Here is an 18,992-nt window from a genome sequence, read left to right as displayed (position 1 = left end):
TACCAAACAAATTTTAAATCATTGACAAGCAGCAGAAGTGGCCTTGGTTTTTATTGTAAAATTAAAGTCTGCCAAGCCATCCTTGATCCTCATAGAATGGATAACAGTGAGATGCCAAATTTTCTCCTCCATTTTAATCTCTGCAATTCATTTTCTTATAGTCCATTGTCAAACTTGAAAAGTTATCTAGTAATGTTTACTCCATGTTCACTGCCATGCTGGTACCTTGAAATTGATCATTGTGGAAGTGTTTACATCAGTAAAATGAGAGGAAGGCCCATGGGGCTTTCATTTTTCTGGAGAGAAAATTGATATACATTTACCAATGCACTACTGAGTCATATATATCTGTTTTGCATTTAACTACACACACACGTGCACGTGTGCACGAACACACTTTTTTTGCTTCCTTCATCTTTTTAGTGCATGAATTAAATTTAGCTAGAAATGAGGTCACATAAATTTTTTCAGCATCAATGGCTGTCAAATGTACTAACTTCTCTTCAACGTTCTGCCTCTCTTGAGGAACAAAATAGAAATGCTAATTATTAGAAAGTGCTTATCATGTACCTTTTCTGGGGCACTAGACACCTGCTTGTTTCACATCTCTCTTGGGATTAGTATTTCAGCAGAGATTCGTACTTCTAGTGGATGAATCATTTTGTAAAAAGCAGGTAAGTACACTCTGCTTTATTTTTTTAAATGCCTCCTTTCTCTTCACCTGGGTATGCATGACAAGCTGATTGCCCCTAGACCAGGGCATAGTTCATCTGAGCTTTGTCCTCTGCTCGATGTGCACCTGCTCACTCACATAGCACCACAAAGAAGCTGAATGCTATTATACAGAAGCGAGCACCTCCTCAGGTGCCAAATGAAAAGCACTTCTGGATTTCTGAGCTGTTGCTAATTTCCATGAATGAAACACTTTGTGTTGGGGAGCGTTTTCCCCCATGAGCAATCCTGTAACTGTTTAAAATCACAGAAGATGCCCAAAGACCATCTAGTCTAATCCATCGCTCCTACTAGCCCTTCGGTAAAAAAGAAGAGCTTTCCTGTTATCCATTTGGCACAATCCACAGATGGGCTTTATTATGTGCTTTAGTGTGCAAGGTTTAGTATTTAGTTCCATTATATATACACAGTACTTGATAATGAGAGTGAAATGTTGGAATAAATAGGACTGATGGTAGTTCATTCAAGGATGCATGTTGATCACTTCTGACTGGCTGGCTGCATTCTCCATTTTGAGCAGGTACTACTGCAAACATATTGCAAGAAGCTGATGTTCCTCTTCTATCAAATGAGAGATGCCAACAGCAGATGCCAGAATATAACATTACTGAAAATATGATATGTGCAGGCTATGAAGAAGGAGGAATAGATTCTTGTCAGGTAAAGATGTAAAACTGCTCACTGTACCTTTTCAGAAAGCACTGGTGTTATAGTTATTTCATTGCTTAACAATAATTAGGGAGTAAAGAAATAAGCTTCTTTCATTTCTCTTTTACAAAACTGTTACTTTTTGCCTATTTGCGTAATCCTCTTGGGTAGACCTGAGCACTGGAAACAAAAATTATTTTTTAAGAAAATAGGTTACAAATCGATGCTTTTGGAGACTAGACATAATACTTGAATGTGTGAGGCAGCCAGCTAAAATGAGCAGTGGACCTGGGTTGAGCCAGAAAGTGTGCACCTTATCTAAAAGCAGTTTCTTTTCAAATTTCCAATTATTTTAAACCCCATGCAAACTTAAAACAAACAAACAAACAAAAACAGGGCTTGAGGGCCAGTTTAGTCTGTGGGCCTCTAAATTTCAACCCTGAATTTAGAATATCATCCAGGCGTGCAGTAACCTGAAGTAATTTCTTGATGAAAACCTGCATAGCCTCGTTAGAGTCAATTTACAGCTAACCAAAGGGGAAGTAAATAACTTAATAGACTGGCATAACCCTGGCTCTGGCTTTTATATTATCGTTTACACTGTATATTAGAAATGTAGTAACTTGAACTTGCTGTAGTGCTAATGTCAATATTGCAATAAATTTGAAGTGTCAATGGCTCTTGACCTGTGTGACATTAGGAAAAAACTCTTACCCACGTAGTAACTTCACTGAAATATCTTGCCACCTAAGAGTAATGTTCCTATTAGCGCCATGAAATCCAAGTACACACAATAAATAAAAAGGGAAGTTCTGCTAGATTTTAGAATTGTAATTAATTTTTAGGTACAGCATGGGGTAGTCATGAAGAGCATGGATTCTATGTTCAGACTACTCTTGTTTGATCCTGGCTTTAACACTTATTGGTGAGACTTTGGGCAAGTGACTTAGGGTTTATGGAGAGGTTTAAATGAGATAACCCATGTAAGGCATCGAGCAATTACTCAAAAATGTTAACAGTTTTTATTATGAAGCTTAGTAAATAAATTTTCTGGCATATTTTCTATATTTGAAAATTAATAACATATCAATGCTTTAATGTCTGCTGGATTAAACCTGCTAGCATTACTGACCAAACGAATAATTACTAAATGAAGAAATAGCAGTTTATGTCATAGGAAAATGGTTTCACTGTGTTAAAGTGTAGCAACTTATTTTATATATTAACACATATATGTCATACTATCAATACATGACGAGCCATCTAAATTGACGCTTATTCAGATCATCTGTATGTAAGTCCTCTAGTTAAATCAATATCTTCAGTTGTGTTAAACTTCCAGCTTAGTTTTACATTTATTCTGCTTTGATAAATGCTTGCAAATTCAAGACAAATAGGATGGCTTTTTTCTTGTTTAAAATTTATCTTCGGGTCTTATACTTCTTTTTTAAAATGAAAAGTGTGCTAAAGGTAAGATATATTGCCACTTAGAAGGAGATCTATAGAATTCTTGCGCAGAAGGGAAATCAGCTGGACAACTTCAATTACAGCTAATGGGGATTGTGTGGCAGACACCTCACGCACTAGGCAGAAAATATGACGGCTGATGCTATTGATTTTAGGGTTACATTAAGTCATTAACTCATGCCAGGTCTCTGAAATCTTATAGCTAGCTCTGATTCTACACAGTCTAAGCATGTTATTCCTTGGTAAGCAAGAAGTCTCCCACATAAGGTAATACCTTGTATAATAAAATGTTATCATAATTGAGTAATTAATACACTAGACTGTCACATGATTTTCTTTGTTCAACTTTAATACTATGTTTTATAACAGGATTAACTGATTAAATAAGAATGCATTCTTTAAAATTGTGAACACGTTATTACTGATACATTATTTAAGTTCTTTGAAGCATCATTTTTTAGCCTTACAGTGGCAAAGAATGTGCCTTATTAGTCATCCACAACTTCTGACTTACCAAAGGCTTGCCTTTTAGTGGTAGTAGTTTGGATTTCAAGGCAACACCAATGGCTGAAGAATATCTTCTCTACCTAAAATTTAGTGACTGACACTCTACCTACCATTCCAAGCCATATTCTATTCCAATGGCTTTCAATGCGTGGCCTCCAGTCCAGCAGCACCACCTGAGAACCTGCTAGAAATGCAAATTATCAGGGCTCATCACATATCTGCTGAATCAGAAACTATGAGGGTGGGGCCAGCTATGTGTGTTTGTCACATCTTCCAGGAGATTCTGATGCACACTAAAGTATGAGAAGTAATGTTCTCAACAAAAATGGTCACCAACCCTTGCACTCAGACACTCAAAGAAGGTACTGATTTTTATGTTTACTTATAAATATAGCATCTCACTAGAAACATAAATTTAAGGTTAATACTTTATGTTCTGTAAATTCATGCATATTTTTAAAAATATTTATTTACGTATGTATTTATTTATTATTTATTTATTTATTTTTGAGTCAGAGTTTTGCTCTTATTGCCCAGGCTGGAGTGCAGTGGCATGATCTCCACTCACTGCAACCTCCACCTGCCGGATTCAAGTGATTCTCCTGCCTCAGCCTCCCGAGTAGCTGGGATTACAGGCACCCATCACCACACCTGGCTAATTTTTTGTATTTTTAGTAGAGACCGGGTTTCACCATGTTGGCCAGGCTGATCTCGAACTCCTGATCTCAGGTGATCCACCCGTCTCGGCCTCCCAAAGTGCTGTGATCACAGGTGTGAGCCACCGCACCGGGTCCCATGCATATTTTTGAAGTACTCATATATCTCCAAGACAGTGGAAGAATGAAATATTAATATCTTCACTGAACAAATCAGAAAATTAAGGAAAGGCAACAAATGTGAAAAAAAAACTCAACATCACTGATCATTAGAGAAATGCAAATCAAAACCACAATGAGATACCATCTCATGCCAGTCAGAATGGCGATTATTAAAAAGTCAAGAAACAATAGATGCTGGCAAGGTTGTGAAGAACTAGGAACACTTTTACAGTGTTGGTGGGAATGTAAATTAGTTCAACCATTGTGGAAGACAGCGTGGCAATTCCTCAAGGATATAGAACCAGAAATACCATTTGACCCAGCAATCCCTTTACTGGGATTAAATCATTGTACTGTAAAGACATATGCACACGTGTATTTATTGCAGCACTATTTACAATAGCAAAGACTTGGAACCAACCCAAATGCCCATCATCAATGATAGACTGAATAAAGAAAATGTGGCACATATACACCATGGGATACTATGCAGCCATAAAAGGGAATGAGATCACGTCATTTGCAGGGACATGGATGAAGCTGGAAGCCATCATCCTCAGCAGACTAACACAGGAACAGAAAACCAAACACTGCATGTTCTCACTCATGAGTGGGAGTTGAACAATGAGAACACATGGACACAGGACAGGGAACAACACACACCAGGGCCTGTTGGGGACTAGGAGGTGAGGGGAAGGAACTTAGAGGGCGGGTCAATAGGTTCAGCAAAGCACCATGGCACACGTATACCTATGTAACAAACCTGCACATTCTGGATGTGTATCCCAGACCTTAAAGTAAAATGTAAAAAAAAAAGAAAAGAAAAGAAAATTAAGGTAAGGAGAAGTTACATAACTAAACTGATGTGTTATAGTTAGATGACAAGAAGTAATGGAAACAGACTGAGGTCTCCCAATCAGGTAGACCACCCAGCCGATAGGCAACAAGTCTGCCGCAGGATCCTTGAGTAACTGCAACCGACCCAGTATGTTCTGGGTAAAATCCTTATTCTGTCTGGATCCTCTTGTCTATTAAAAAATTAAATTGTTTTAGAAGATATGTAAAAAAACAAGTTACTCCTTTTAAAAATATCCAAACAGCTGAAGTTTATTTTTAATAATTTCCAAGTCATATAAAATGTACTTTGATCCTTGAATATAAACTGTTCCATAAATATTTCAGAACCTATAATTACAGATTAAGGGTTTGGGATGCAGAAATAGAAATCACAGTCCCTGCTTTCAAACACCTTGCACACATTTGTTACACTAGAATGTTGGTAACCTATGGTCGCCAGTGCAATTTATGTTCCTGTGTATGGAGGGGAAAAAAGGGTGCATTGATAGATTACATTTTTTTCTTTAAATATAGGGCCCAAAGATGATAAAAAGGATCAGACAAAAAGTCTCTCAGGATAATTTCTAGCATCGAGCTGGGATTGAAATATTCTATTATACCAGTGATTTCAAAACACATAAAACTTTAAATGTCTTCATAAATATAAAAAACAAATTAATCAAAAAGATTTGCCCAATTAATACAGGAAAAATACTTGTCAATTTTATGTCATTAAATAATGATATTATATGTTTGTATTATCATTGCATTACACAGGAATCACGTGCAAATAAAATCTATGAAATTTACTTTACTAGGATCTGCTGTGATTAATATTCATAAAAATTAAAAATATTTCTTAGTTTGAAATCTCAGATGAAAACATGAGCAATTATCACTAAAAATTATATCACAGACTTCCTTATTTCAGTTGAAATGTTTTTCAAATCGGATGGTGTTTGTTGAGCCCCAAAAAGATAATACTACCCAAGAGAACTAAAATCTACTTTATGTGTGAGTTCCTAATTTTTCCAAAAAGTATATTGTGAAATAATTTGTCTTTTCCATAGTGTCCTTTGTGGCACTTACAGCAGATCTCCTTAAATAAAGTGATTGGCTGTTAATAAATATTTTGTTTGGGATGCTTTTCATAGTTGTGCTTTAAAGAACTTCTTAGTAGCCACCAAAATGCCTAATTAAAGTGGAGAAACTTTTACTAAAAAGGTGCACTGTAAAAATTATAAATGATGTCTTAGTTGTTATAGTTTCTCTGTCTCCTTACTGAGGTTCTCATTCCTGACTTAGAGTGAAAGTGAGAATATATACAGATGACTTGCAATTAAATCATATTTTTTAATTAATTTTTATTTTTTAATTTATTTGATACAAATAATTTTATATGTTTCGATCAATTGACCACATATCTACAATTTTGTTTTGCAATTCACTCTTTAGGGGGATTCAGGAGGACCATTAATGTGCCAAGAAAACAACAGGTGGTTCCTTGCTGGTGTGACCTCATTTGGATACAAGTGTGCCCTGCCTAATCGCCCCGGAGTGTATGCCAGGGTCTCAAGGTTTACCGAATGGATACAAAGTTTTCTACATTAGCGCATTTCTTAAACTAAACAGGAAAGTCGCATTATTTTCCCATTCTACTCTAGAAAGCATGGAAATTAAGTGTTTCGTACAAAAATTTTAAAAAGTTACCAAAGGTTTTTATTCTTACCTATGTCAATGAAATGCTAGGGGGCCAGGGAAACAAAATTTTAAAAATAATAAAATTCACCATAGCAATACAGAATAACTTTAAAATACCATTAAATACATTTGTATTTCATTGTGAACAGGTATTTCTTCACAGATCTCATTTTTAAAATTCTTAATGATTATTTTTATTACTTACTGTTGTTTAAAGGGATGTTATTTTAAAGCATATACCATACACTTAAGAAATTTGAGCAGAATTTAAAAAAGAAAGAAAATAAATTGTTTTTCCCAAAGTATGTCACTGTTGGAAATAAACTGCCATAAATTTTCTAGTTCCAGTTTAGTTTGCTGCTATTAGCAGAAACTCAATTGTTTCTCTGTCTTTTCTATCAAAATTTTCAACATATGCATAACCTTAGTATTTTCCCAACCAATAGAAACTATTTATTGTAAGCTTATGTCACAGGCCTGGACTAAATTGATTTTACGTTCCTCTTAAATAAGTTAATTAAATAAAAGATAAATTAACTGATATAGTCATTGTATATTAGATAAATTTTACCTATTTATTTCAAGCAAGTATTTTTAAGTCTCAAGAAAATAATCAGACATACCAAAGAAATGCACCTATTGCAAATCCTGGTCTTGGTTTATGTGTGTTACAGTGGATATTTCTAATATATGAAAACTTATTTAGACACAGCTGAATCACCCATGAGAAGGTCAAATATGTGTAATAAATGAATTTGCTTCACTTGTTTAATCCCTTGGATCATTTCCAGAATAAGTGCTGACTTCAATTTAGCTCACCACACAGAATCTTTTGATGTATCTGGGGAGAAAAAATTCATAGTTAATAAAAAACACACACACATACGCACCTTCACACACATGCTTGCATGGGACAATTATTTAATAGAAGAGAGAGAGAGTAAGGTTAAAAGGAATTGAAGGAAGGGACCAATTGTATGGCTTGGCCTTATGGAATAAAGGAGATTTGAACTACACCTGGAAAGAATAATTATTACAGAGGCATTGAAGAGGATATTGAGGATCTACTGTGCAGGTGGGGGTCAGTTAAATAGAGAATAATGTGTTGTCATACCAAAAGACTCTCTCTCTGGGAAACAGTCAGATAAAGGGGAAAAAATGTTTTATATGAAGAAGGTGTGGCCAGATGATGGACGAATGCAAATTCCTGTTAAGAAATTGTAGAATTCATTCTTTGGACAAAAATTAGGAGCCACGTGTTTTAGTCCATTTTCTTACTGCTAATAAAGACATACCCAAGACTGGGTAATTTATAAAGGAAAGAAAGACATCATTTAATGAACTCACAGTTCCACATAGCTGGAGAGGCCTCACAATCATGGTGGAAGGCAAAGGAGGAGCAAAGGCATGTCTTACATGGAGACAGGCAAGAGAGCGTATGCAGGAGAACTTCTTCCATTTCCTTTCCACTTTCCTTATCCACTACCATCAGAACAGTATGGGGGAAACCACCCCCATGATTCAATTATCTCCACCTGGCCCCACCCTTGACACATGGGGATTATTACAATTCAAGGTGAGATGTGGGTGGGGAAACAGCCAAATCGTATCACCACTAAACACACGATTCCTTTTAATACCTTTCCAATGGTCTGATTCTAACAACAGTTGGGAAAGATAGACTGACCAGCAGGGTATTATTTGTTTTTTAGTACCTGAAGATTGTTCCACATTTCTTCTGCATTTCAAAACATATAGCAAAAATATATTCTAAAAATGCTAACGCAACAGATACACCATGTATTTTTCATTTCCCAAAGGTTAGCTAAAATTTTAGGAAACTGTTAAGAAGCTAGGATTACTACCATTTTCTAATAAAAGAGAAGTTCATTTTCCACCTCCAGTAGCTTATAGGTTTAGTTGGTGATACCAGAAGAGTTACCCAGACCTAGATAAAGACCAAAGGCAAAAGCCAGGCATTTCTCCATTGATTATTTGCTGCTTTTGCCTTGCAGCTGTTATAGTCCATGGTGGCAAAGACAAGGGGGAACACCCAGTTTTCCTCCAGTATGTTCACACTAGAGGCAGAACTACATGATAGTAGTTTGGAGGAAAAAGGTTACGTCCCAGCAACTGGTCTCCAGTTCTACCCAGAAAGATGATAGATGATATAGGTAGCCAAGAAAAGAAAGAGGAGTGCTGCATGTTGGCAGATCTCAGCTTCAAATGCAGCTGCTCATTCTCTCAGTCTCTGAGCAGCTGAAAATGGGCAATGCCCATTGATTTCTCTTTTGCCTCCTAGCTTTGCCAACCAATGCTAGTTGTGAACTGTGTTGAGGAAAATATTATTTAACTGAAAAGAATTGACAGGAAAAACATTAGACATAATCACGCCTTCCATTATTACCACACTTACTTAAAGAGTAATTTGTTTTCAACTTTATACGTCGATGCAAACATATCTGTACTTGTTTCACATAAAAGAGGTTTAGACAGGACTAGTCATCATTCTTCAGAAACAAGAACTCTTTATTTGGTTAAAAGGAGCACAGGGACATATGAAGACCAGAGAGTTACAACTTTCTCTTGAGAAGAACAAGGCGTAAGCATTGAAGAAACTAGGAGATAAGACAGAAAGGAGCCACCATTTTCTATCTCAAGCAAACCCTCATCAATGAATATGCGATCACTGATGGGTTCCAACCCATTTTCACACGATTTCGTAGTTCCTTTCCTTCCTAAAATGTCTGTGTGCTGTGCTTGTCTCCACACTGATAGTGACTATTCACCTGGTCTCAACCACATGACCTCTTTGTATACTAATATAGTCAGAGGCTAAATACAGCTAGGGAAACCTTAGACTAACTTTGCAACTATCTGCCTCCAGTGTCAATCCCAAACCCCGAACAACCATCTTTGTTTAGTGGGCAAGAGAGGGACCACATTGATTTCAGAACCCTCAGAGAGCTGCTTCTCATTATATAGGCAACGTGTGAAGACATATGATTTATATTGTGTATGTCACTTCTTTTGTTCAAATTGACTGCATTAGTGTTTATGCACCTATTAACAAAGTTACATTATTACAAAATCTGTTTAATTTTAAGCTAAAAATAATTATAAGGCACATGTCTTGCACAATTGAAATTAGACAATCCTTGCCTCTAAGTAAAATGTTTGAGGAGGTTTATATCACACTTAATGAAATAGCTTCTTATTTCTGAAGAGATTTCCTAGACATTGACCAAAAGCAGAGAAGCTGAAAGATGAATTATTTCGAGAAAACAAACTTTTTCTATGGTACTATATTTGTGTGTGTGTGAATTCAGTTGACAACAGTAATAAGTTTCTTTAATCAAAAGAGCATGTATTGAAAAATGAGATGCCATAAAAATAAATATTAGAACAGTTCATTTTTATCAAACACTTATGCAAAGGTAAAATACTTTTGCACACTGTAAATTTCAATACAATATACATTACATTGACTAGATAACAACTTATGAAAGGTGAAAGAAATAAAAGGAATTGCTTCTAACACACATACTCCCGACGTGTTGATAACAACTTTATCTGCATTGTCCATTTCATTTGCTTGAAGTTTGAAGTTTGGGTGCATCCTTTAGCAAAATAAGCATGTCTCACTCCATTATTAGCACAGCATATTCTTTAAATGAAATAATAGACATATAAAAATTACTTTAATATTTGCCTCAAGGGGGAGCTTACAGTTCATCTTGCAGATCCTTTGTGATTTCAAGCCATTCCAAGCTATTGTTCTGATGCCATTCCTTATACAGATCCAGAATTACAAAATTCTGGAACCAAGTCAATGAGTTATTATACTTCCATGCCACTTTCTTTTCTGGTACTCTTTGAAATCCACAGTGTAGACTGGTTTGGACTAGTTTTTGTTCTTCCTTTACTGAAAAACATAAGAAAAAATGTTTAGTGCCTAAAATTTCTTATTAAACTAAGCATGTCTACGTCCAAAGGGAGATATCTCAGACAGTTATTTATGAAAGACTCCCCCTCTCAGCAGTATATTTTCCCATTCTTCCAAAAACTTCTAGATTATTCAAATATGTGAAGATGGCAAACAGTTCTTGTGAATGATAGAGAAAACAAAACATATCTTTTCCTGTTTGACATTTCCTAATTTAGAGTTCATTTTTGTTGTTGCTGTTGTTATTTTAATTTTTTATTTCCATAGGTTATGGGGGAACGGGTGGTGTTTGGTTACATGAGTAAGTTCTTTAGTGGTGATTTGTGAAATTTTGGTGCACCCATCACTTGAGTAGTATACACTGTACCCAATTTGTATTCTTTTATCCCTCACCCCCTTCCTACTCTTTCCCTCTGAGTCCCCAAAGTCCACTGTGTCATTCTGATGCCTTTGCATCATCATAGCTTAGCTCCCACTTGTGAGTGAGAATGTACGATGCTTAGTTTTTCATTCCTGTATTACTTCACTTAGAATAACAGTCTCCAGTATTACCCAGGTCGCTGTGAATGCCGTTAATTCACTCCTTTGTATGGATGAGTAGTATTCCATCATATATATATATGTGTGTGTGTGTGTGTGTGTGTATATATATACACACACATATATATATACACATATATATACACATATATATATACACACATATATATATACACATACATATATGTGTGTGTGTGTGTATATATATATATACATATATATACCACAGATTCTTTATCCACGCATTGATTGATGGGCATTTGGGTTGGTTCCACACCTACAAACATGTGCCTGACACTATATTAAACATTTCCGTTTTATTCACCAATAAATACCTTTATTTTCTTTGATCAATTATTTTGGAAATCATTTTGCTCCTTGAGTCCCCTGTCACTAATGGATGCTGAATTTAATGTCAAATCATCAAAACAATGCTATTATACTATGTGTATGGATGTGCCTATTCCCCTCCTCCCATCGCTTCTCCGGCTCTGCACCTAAGTCACTTGATTTCTGGAAGCTTACTGGTGCCTCAGTCTCTGAAACCAATGTGGTTCAATAGCAGATTCATGCTTTGGTAACATAACAGTTTCTGAGTTCCTCCAGATTTGAGATACAACTTCACCCTTGTCACATTTGGAATTCTGGCCCACATTTCCAGCCTGTGCCTAGGGTTCTGCTATCTTCTGTCTTTCCACAACACGATAACTTTTCAGGCACCTGCAGAAGTTCCCTGTTCCTGAGTTTATCCAAGTCATTCTCTCTCTCTTTTTTTTTTTTTTTTTTTTTTTGAGACAGACCCTCACTCTGTCGCCCAGGCTGGAGTACAGTGGCCTGATCTCGGCTCACTGCAACCTCCGCCTCCCCGGTTCAAGCAATTCTCCTGCCTCAGCCTCCCAAGTAGCTGGGATTATCGGCGCCCGCCACCACGCCTGGCTATTTTTTGTATTTTTAGTAGAGATGGGGTTTTGCCATGTTAGTCAGGGTGGTATCAAACTCCCGACCTCAGATGATCCACCCAAGTCATTCTCTACTGGATGCCCTGTCAAAAGTAGATTTCTTTGGGCTGGTTTCCTCAAGATAATCTCCTGCCTGGACCAAAAGTGTTTGTCCCGGTTCACTGTGTTGTGCACTTACTTGCTCCCTGACCATCCCAGCCCCAGTTCCCAGCATCTGCCTCAGTCCTCACAGGCGTCTCCCCATCCCCTCCTCCATCTACCAGACATTGCAGAATTCCCTCAAAGAGAAAAAAGAACTATTTCTAAACACACCTGACCATTACCCTTTTAAAATATTACTTAATTCACTTAGATTTAGCTGTTTTGGTTACTAATAAAATATTATGTCCAAATTGTATGGTTTGTAGATTTTCATCCAAATAAGTAAGATCAGCACAACTTTATTCTACAGTCATCTAACATGTATGGAAAATAAGCCAAGAAAGTTTATAAAAAGCACAAAAGTGGTCTAAATGGTAAAAAAAAAAAAAAAGGTTATTAATGTGGCTTTTGTGTAGAATTAGTATTTCATTTCAGAATTACTTAATTTTTTTCTGGGTCTTTTGTTGCTTAATGGTAGGGTTTATTTCAGAAAAAGAAGAAGATGAAGTAAGGTCAAAAGAGGAAAATGAATTTGTTTGCAGGTCCTTCCTGATGGAGGCATCCCCTTGATCAGTTCTTATTTAAACCATGCAGACAAAGATGTCTAGTTTATTCTAGCAAACATGCTCTTATATAAACAGAATAGCTTTTCCTTTTTTCCTTTTGATACATATTTATATTTCATTTTTTATTTGACAATGAAATACATTTTCATTATATTGAATTTTGTTTCATTTTTATTAAAAAATTGGCACACATGGAAAAACTTCTCTAACCCAAGGGTACAGGAAAGCAGATAAAAAGTCATAATATTCCCCCAGAAATCTTGCTGGTAAAATATAGGATTTTATTTCAAGATACCTGCCAAAAAGTGGCCTGTTTGAACCGCTGTATTTTATTTCCTGTTCTTAAAAGATCTTTTTGAAATAAAACAGAAACCTGTGACTTGAATTTTGAAAAGTAATACAAAATGAACCTACAAATATCAAGTCTTACATATAGCTTGATGTCTAGATTGAAAAGTTTAGCATTAATTCTTATACTTCATAAACAAAAAACAGTATAATATAGTGCATATGTTGGAAGTTTACAAACATCCAAATTTCAGATTCACCGTGGACACTAACTATGGTACCCAAGGCAGACTAGGTAACCCATCTAAGACACCATCTTCTCAACTGAGAAATACAAACAGAAGGGTAACTGCTTAATAAGTCCTGTAAGGATTAAATAATATATTACATTAATTCTATCCTCAATGTATATCTTATTAGATTGTATGTATAGGATTTCTTAAGGAAAATTAAAATATAATTAACTTTATGCTAATAGTTTTAAAACATTTCTGAAAACCTATTTAAAGTTTTTCAAATTGTCTCTACATATATGAGTTATTTACCTTTTATGCAGCATCTGGAAACAACAGGTTCCAAAAGCAACCAGTATCAGTAAGAGCAGGGGTATTGTTGGTATAACAACATAAATTAGATTGGGAATTATACCTACAAAATAAAACAGTCTTCATGTGAAAAGATAGTTGAGGAAGAATTCTAAAGCAAAAATATGTAAGAATGTTTCAAAAAATTCAGGTGAAATAGAATTTTCAATAAATTGACCCCAAAGTTCTTCTCAAAATATTGAAAAATCTAATGAAATAATATACAGTCATGCACCACATAGTGACATTTCAGTCAACGATGCATCACATATGTGACAGTGGTCCCATAAGATTATAATGGAGCTGCCCTACATAGGTATACCATCTTTTATATTTGATATCCTATTTTATAGATTTCTATGTTTAGATAGGTTTTGATATACAAATTCCATTATGTTACAGTTGTCTACAGCATTCAGTATAGTAACATGGTGCAGGGGTTTGTAGCCTAGAAGTAATAGGCCATATCAAACAGCCTAGATGTGTAGTAAGCTATATGACCTAGGTTCAAGTACACTCTATGATGTTCGCACAATGACAAAATTGCCTAATGGTGCATTTCTCAGAACATGTCCCCATTGTTAAGTGGCACATGACTGTATTCATGTTTTGGTAAAAGTTAAAAACAAAATTTTACTGAACGGAAAATTGAATTGTACTGATCTGTAGTGATATCAAACTGTTCCAATTTGATATCCATACTTCCAAAACTATTATTAAATCTACAATTCAGACATGGACTAGCTTTCATTAAGAACCTTAGCTAACTCATTTCATTACTCCTTCTCAATCATTACTTACAAAAATAAGTACTTATTATTAAAAATAATAATTATTAAGATTATTGTAAATATATTGGGTAAGTAATTACCTAGCCAATAAGCTTAGTGTCACGATTCCATACAAGTCACTGGGATTAAAATGAAATATATAAATATTAACTGATGATACAGTCACGACTCAGAGACACGAGACTCCAGCGGCACAAAGACTTGATCTTAATTAAATTCTAAAATGAATCATTTTTTAATCCTGTTCCATCACATTTGATAATGCTAGGTATTCTTAGTAAAATTAAAAAACCGTGACACTGTAATTCCATACAACTTAAAATTAATAAACATCTGCTCAATTTCAAAAGAGAAAAAAGTATTTCTAATGTGATTACTGAATATTTTTTTTTTGTGGAGGGACAGAGTCTTGCTCTGTCTCCCAGGCCAGAGTGCATGGCGCAATCTTGGCTCACTGTAACCTCTGCCTCCCAGTTTCCAGTGATTCTCCTGCCTCAGCCTCCCAAATAGCTGGAATTACAGGGACCTGCCACCACGCCCAGCTAATTTTTGTATTTTTTAGTAGAGACAGGGTTTTGCCATGTTGGCCAAGCTGGTCTCGAACTCCTGACCTCAGGTGACCCACCTGCCTCAGCCTCCCAAAGTGCTGGGATTACAGGTGTGAGCCACTGCGCCCAGCCTACTGATCTTTTTTTTTTTTTTTATCATACTTTAAGTTTTAGTGTACATGTGCACATTGTGCAGGTTAGTTACATATGTAATTAGGTTTAGATGTTCTGAATGGTTTTAAAACCAGGCACCTGAAAAGTGAAAAGCACTAAGCCTTAATATCATGTCTATGCAAAAAAAGCAAATTCAAGAACTATGCATTTAGCTTGTAAATTAAAAGTCATCATCATGACTAATCTGAATAATTCTGGTCAAAGTGGACCAGATGTAGATAAAGCTTTTATCTACATTTAACTGCGCATCACTTCATTTGTTAACAGAAGACAAACTCATGAGCAATAGGGTATCTGAGCGATAATTTGCTGTTTCCTCCCACTCCTGTTTGACTTCAAGCAATTTAAGGATCCAACCAATCCCTAAACATTTACCAGCCCACCCCTGTTTGCTCTCCACTGAATGTGCCAATTTGCATCATGACGCCTACATGTTGTTAGAGAAATTTCTTGTAGATCCAAAGTTCTTTTGTTGTTGTTGGTGGTGTTTTTTTGTTGTTGTTGTTGTTGTTGTTGTTGTTTGCTTTTTTGAGACAGGGTCTCACTTTGTTGACCAAACTGGACTGTAGTGCATGATCACTGCTCACTGCAGCCTCGACTTCCCAGACTCAGGTGATTCTCCCACCTCAGCTTCCCAGTAGCTGGGACTGCAGGTGTGTACCTCCACGCCAGGCTAGTTTTTTGTATTTTTTGCAGAGATGGGGTCTCACCAGGTTGCTCAGGATGGTCTCAAACTCCTGGGCTCAAGTGATCCACCTGCCTCAGCCTCCCAAATTCTTGGGATTACAGGTGTGAGCCCCTGTGCCTGGCCAGATCCAAATTTTAATGTGGATCACTTAGTTTAGTACCACTCTGAAGAAAACAAAACAGGTTTTTCTATTCAAATACTAGCTTAGCATAATTTTTTCTAACCTAGTTCAAAAGTAAATGTCCATAGGACCATACTTAGTGAACCACTTCCCCAGGCAAGACAAGTTTCACTGGGGTCAACATGAAGCAGCGTTTGAAAGTACAGTTCAGTTCTTGATGAAGTTAAAGACACATGAAGTAATTACCTGCTTCAGTAACAACCACATTCTGATGGGTGTCTCCTGGTTGATTTGTAAGATAAGGCTTTTCTACAGGGGCTGTTGGATTAATCTCTGTAAATAATAAGAACCACCATCATATATAATGATTAAACAAGAGAATTGAAAATATATATAAATATGAAATTATATTATAAAATAAAAACATCACAATTTTGATTTCTGAACAGCTTACAGCTAATAAAATACATTCTGAATTTAAATTTACATGAAATTATCTAACTATAAAGTCAACATTTAATTCTCTTTGAATAAAAGATGGAGTTGATATGTTCTCCCTTAAAACTCCAAATTGCAATTAGCAATCAACAGTGGGTCTGTGCTGATGATAGCCTGCTGCAGGCAATAATGGCGGACCAGTCACAAAGTTAAGCAAGGATAACCAAGAATTGGCAAACGTAAGAGTGTGATATATTAAATGCAGTTCAGAGACAAGCAAGATAATTTCTTTACTAATATCAGTGTATTATTTGGGTTTCCCCTTGCAATAATAATCAGCAGATGACTGTATGTGGATTGCATTTGGAATTGATGATTCAAGTAACAACGTTCTAAGCCACATTTCTGTTCTGCATATACAATGCCATCCTTAGATTTGCTTTCCAATAGTGTCTACTTTTAAAAATAATAATAATAACACTAAATTAAAGCTTGCAAGTTGTTTCTTTCCCTAGTTTTATAGATGTCTCTTCAATTTCCACACACTTTATTTTTTATTGTTCTTCTAACTTTTAAGTTCAGGGGTACATGTGCAGAATGTGCAGGTTTGTTACGTGGGTAAACGTGTGCCATGGTGCGGTGCTGCACAGATCATTCCATCACCTAAGTATGAAGCCCAGCATCCATTAACTATTATTCCTGGCTTTTTTTTCTCTTGCTACACACTTTAAAATTGTTGAAGTTTATTGTCATGATTTCGTATTGCTCTATTTTCTATTTTTCTTTTCCTTAAGGAACTATTTGTTAAATCAATAATTCAATGAAAATAAATTGAATTATTTAAAAAAAAGCCTGTAAATTTGTTTCCATTTGTTCCAAAAGTGTAACTCTCTACTTTTATCAATTGAAATAAGAACCCATGTTCTTATATAGTCTTCAGGATAGAGAAGAATTTTAATTTAATGTTTACCATTCTTACATTGCCTTAAAATGTCACAGAGTCCCCCTTTGTTGGAAGTTTAATCATAATCCATTCTGTAGAAATATTTGTTACTCTTGTACACAGATTTAACTCTGACATTTTAATAGCCTCCTCTGGGTTTCAGATTCAGTCCTAGACTATACCTACTCTTCTAGAGAACTTAGTCACTCTATGCCTAGTCAACTGGTATTTTTAAACAAATAATATAAATATTATGCAAAATATCACTAAAAATCAAGCACTGATTACATAACCAAGGAATTTAATCAAACCAACATCCTTTACTAAGCAGACACTAAGCTCAAGGAGGGTTAACTAAATATAAATAAAAAGACAAAAAAGATTAAATCATGAAATAAAAAATAAAAATCCTGAGCACATTAATAAGGCCAACAGTAAACCCGTGAATGTGCTTCAAAACAAAAACTACATAAAATAATATTTTAATAAATATAGATTATTTGAAGATTTGGGTAGAATGGAGAAGATAAAGAAAGAATAATTTTATATCATAAATGCTCTTGCATGAGTAATGTAAACCTAGATTACCTAATACATAAACAAGTAAAGAAGATTGTAAGATTTACAGTGTCCTAAATAATGGCATAAATTTTGATGCAAAAATAAAATAAATATAATACAATGAAGGGTCAAATAGTTGACCTTTGAACTCAAAAGAAAGGAGAAGGCGATAATGTAATATTAAGAATAATGCATAATATTGTACTTGTATTATCCAGTAGTCTTAAGTACATAGAATGTCACAAATTTAAAATATCAGAGGATTTCAACTTTATATTTCTCCAAGAGAAAAATAGAGGACATAAGCGCATAACAGATTCAGCTTTGCAAAGACTTCCAGGAGGGTAATGACGGGTTTAGCAACCAAGATGGTTAAAGAATAAACTCACCAGGGATAAAAAAAAAGGTGGCTAATACACTCAAGAGCAGGATAAATGTAAGAGAAGGGTAAGTCTAATCCAAATAATCCCTTGTGTTTTCTGGTATTATGAGAAAAAGAATCATGTAATTTCAGGAGAATAATGGAAGCAGCAGTACTCAACTATAATTGCCTTCTGTGAACACGTATTATGAGTTCAAGCAGACACCTCTTCAGAAGAGTTAAAATGACACTTCCAAACACTGAGGAGGAGAAAAACAGCAAAAAAAATCTCAAAGCCTAAGGATCTAACTTGACTTTCTAGATGATTTTAAAAAATGAGTCCACAGAGTTTGTATTAGTCCCTCTTTCAGTCAAATATGAATTCAGACGATCCGTCCTAGTTAAAGTAATTCAAATGGACTATTTTTTAAATCCAGAACCCATGCCAGTATAGCTCAAGTCAATGTAAGATTCCCATTTGCTGCATATGACAAGTAGTGGGAGATTTCAAAAGAAAGCTAACTGAGGAGACATATTTCAAGAATAGGAATCATAGGGAGAACGAGTCACATCTTCCTACTTTTTTCCACTATGGGGCAATGAGCTATGACAGTCTTCTTTTTACTGAGTACC

General features: G+C 35.5%; 2 protein-coding genes across 17 annotated transcripts in view, besides 1 other annotated feature; one reads left to right on the top strand and one right to left on the bottom strand.

Annotated features, from left to right (window-relative positions):
• Positions 1–7,473, top strand: part of TMPRSS15 (transmembrane serine protease 15) — a 216,769-nt gene extending 209,296 nt beyond the window's left edge. For all 8 annotated transcript variants that reach the window (NM_001428057.1, NM_001428056.1, XM_047440913.1 and 5 more), the window contains 2 exons: positions 1,253–1,392; positions 6,465–7,473. In NM_001428057.1, the coding sequence (NP_001414986.1) occupies positions 1,253–1,392; positions 6,465–6,620 (296 nt within the window). In that variant the 3' untranslated portion in view covers positions 6,621–7,473. The remainder of the gene's footprint in view (positions 1–1,252; positions 1,393–6,464) is intronic.
• Positions 9,219–18,992, bottom strand: part of CHODL (chondrolectin) — a 350,031-nt gene continuing 340,257 nt past the window's right edge. For 5 of the 9 annotated variants that reach the window (NM_001204176.2, NM_001204175.2, XM_047440682.1 and 2 more), the window contains 3 exons: positions 16,303–16,389; positions 13,696–13,798; positions 9,219–10,635 (listed from right to left, as the gene is read on the bottom strand). In NM_001204176.2, the coding sequence (NP_001191105.1) occupies positions 10,551–10,635; positions 13,696–13,798; positions 16,303–16,389 (275 nt within the window). In that variant the 3' untranslated portion in view covers positions 9,219–10,550. The remainder of the gene's footprint in view (positions 10,636–13,695; positions 13,799–16,302; positions 16,390–18,992) is intronic. The other 4 variants (NM_001204178.2, NM_001204177.2, XM_011529453.3 and 1 more) reach the window with 1 other exon arrangement.
• Positions 14,809–15,310: an enhancer, noted in NCBI's record as "NANOG hESC enhancer chr21:19633596-19634097 (GRCh37/hg19 assembly coordinates)". NCBI's record gives its function as "activates a minimal SCP1, AML or CMV promoter by ChIP-STARR-seq in naive H9 embryonic stem cells {active_cell/tissue: H9 hESC(naive)}" and the evidence as "EXISTENCE:reporter gene assay evidence [ECO:0000049][PMID:30033119]".

Source organism: Homo sapiens, chromosome 21 (assembly GCF_000001405.40).
Source record: "Homo sapiens chromosome 21, GRCh38.p14 Primary Assembly".
In the NCBI taxonomy this organism is placed as follows: Eukaryota; Metazoa; Chordata; class Mammalia; order Primates; family Hominidae; genus Homo; species Homo sapiens.
This window is presented reverse-complemented; position numbering and strand designations above follow the sequence as displayed.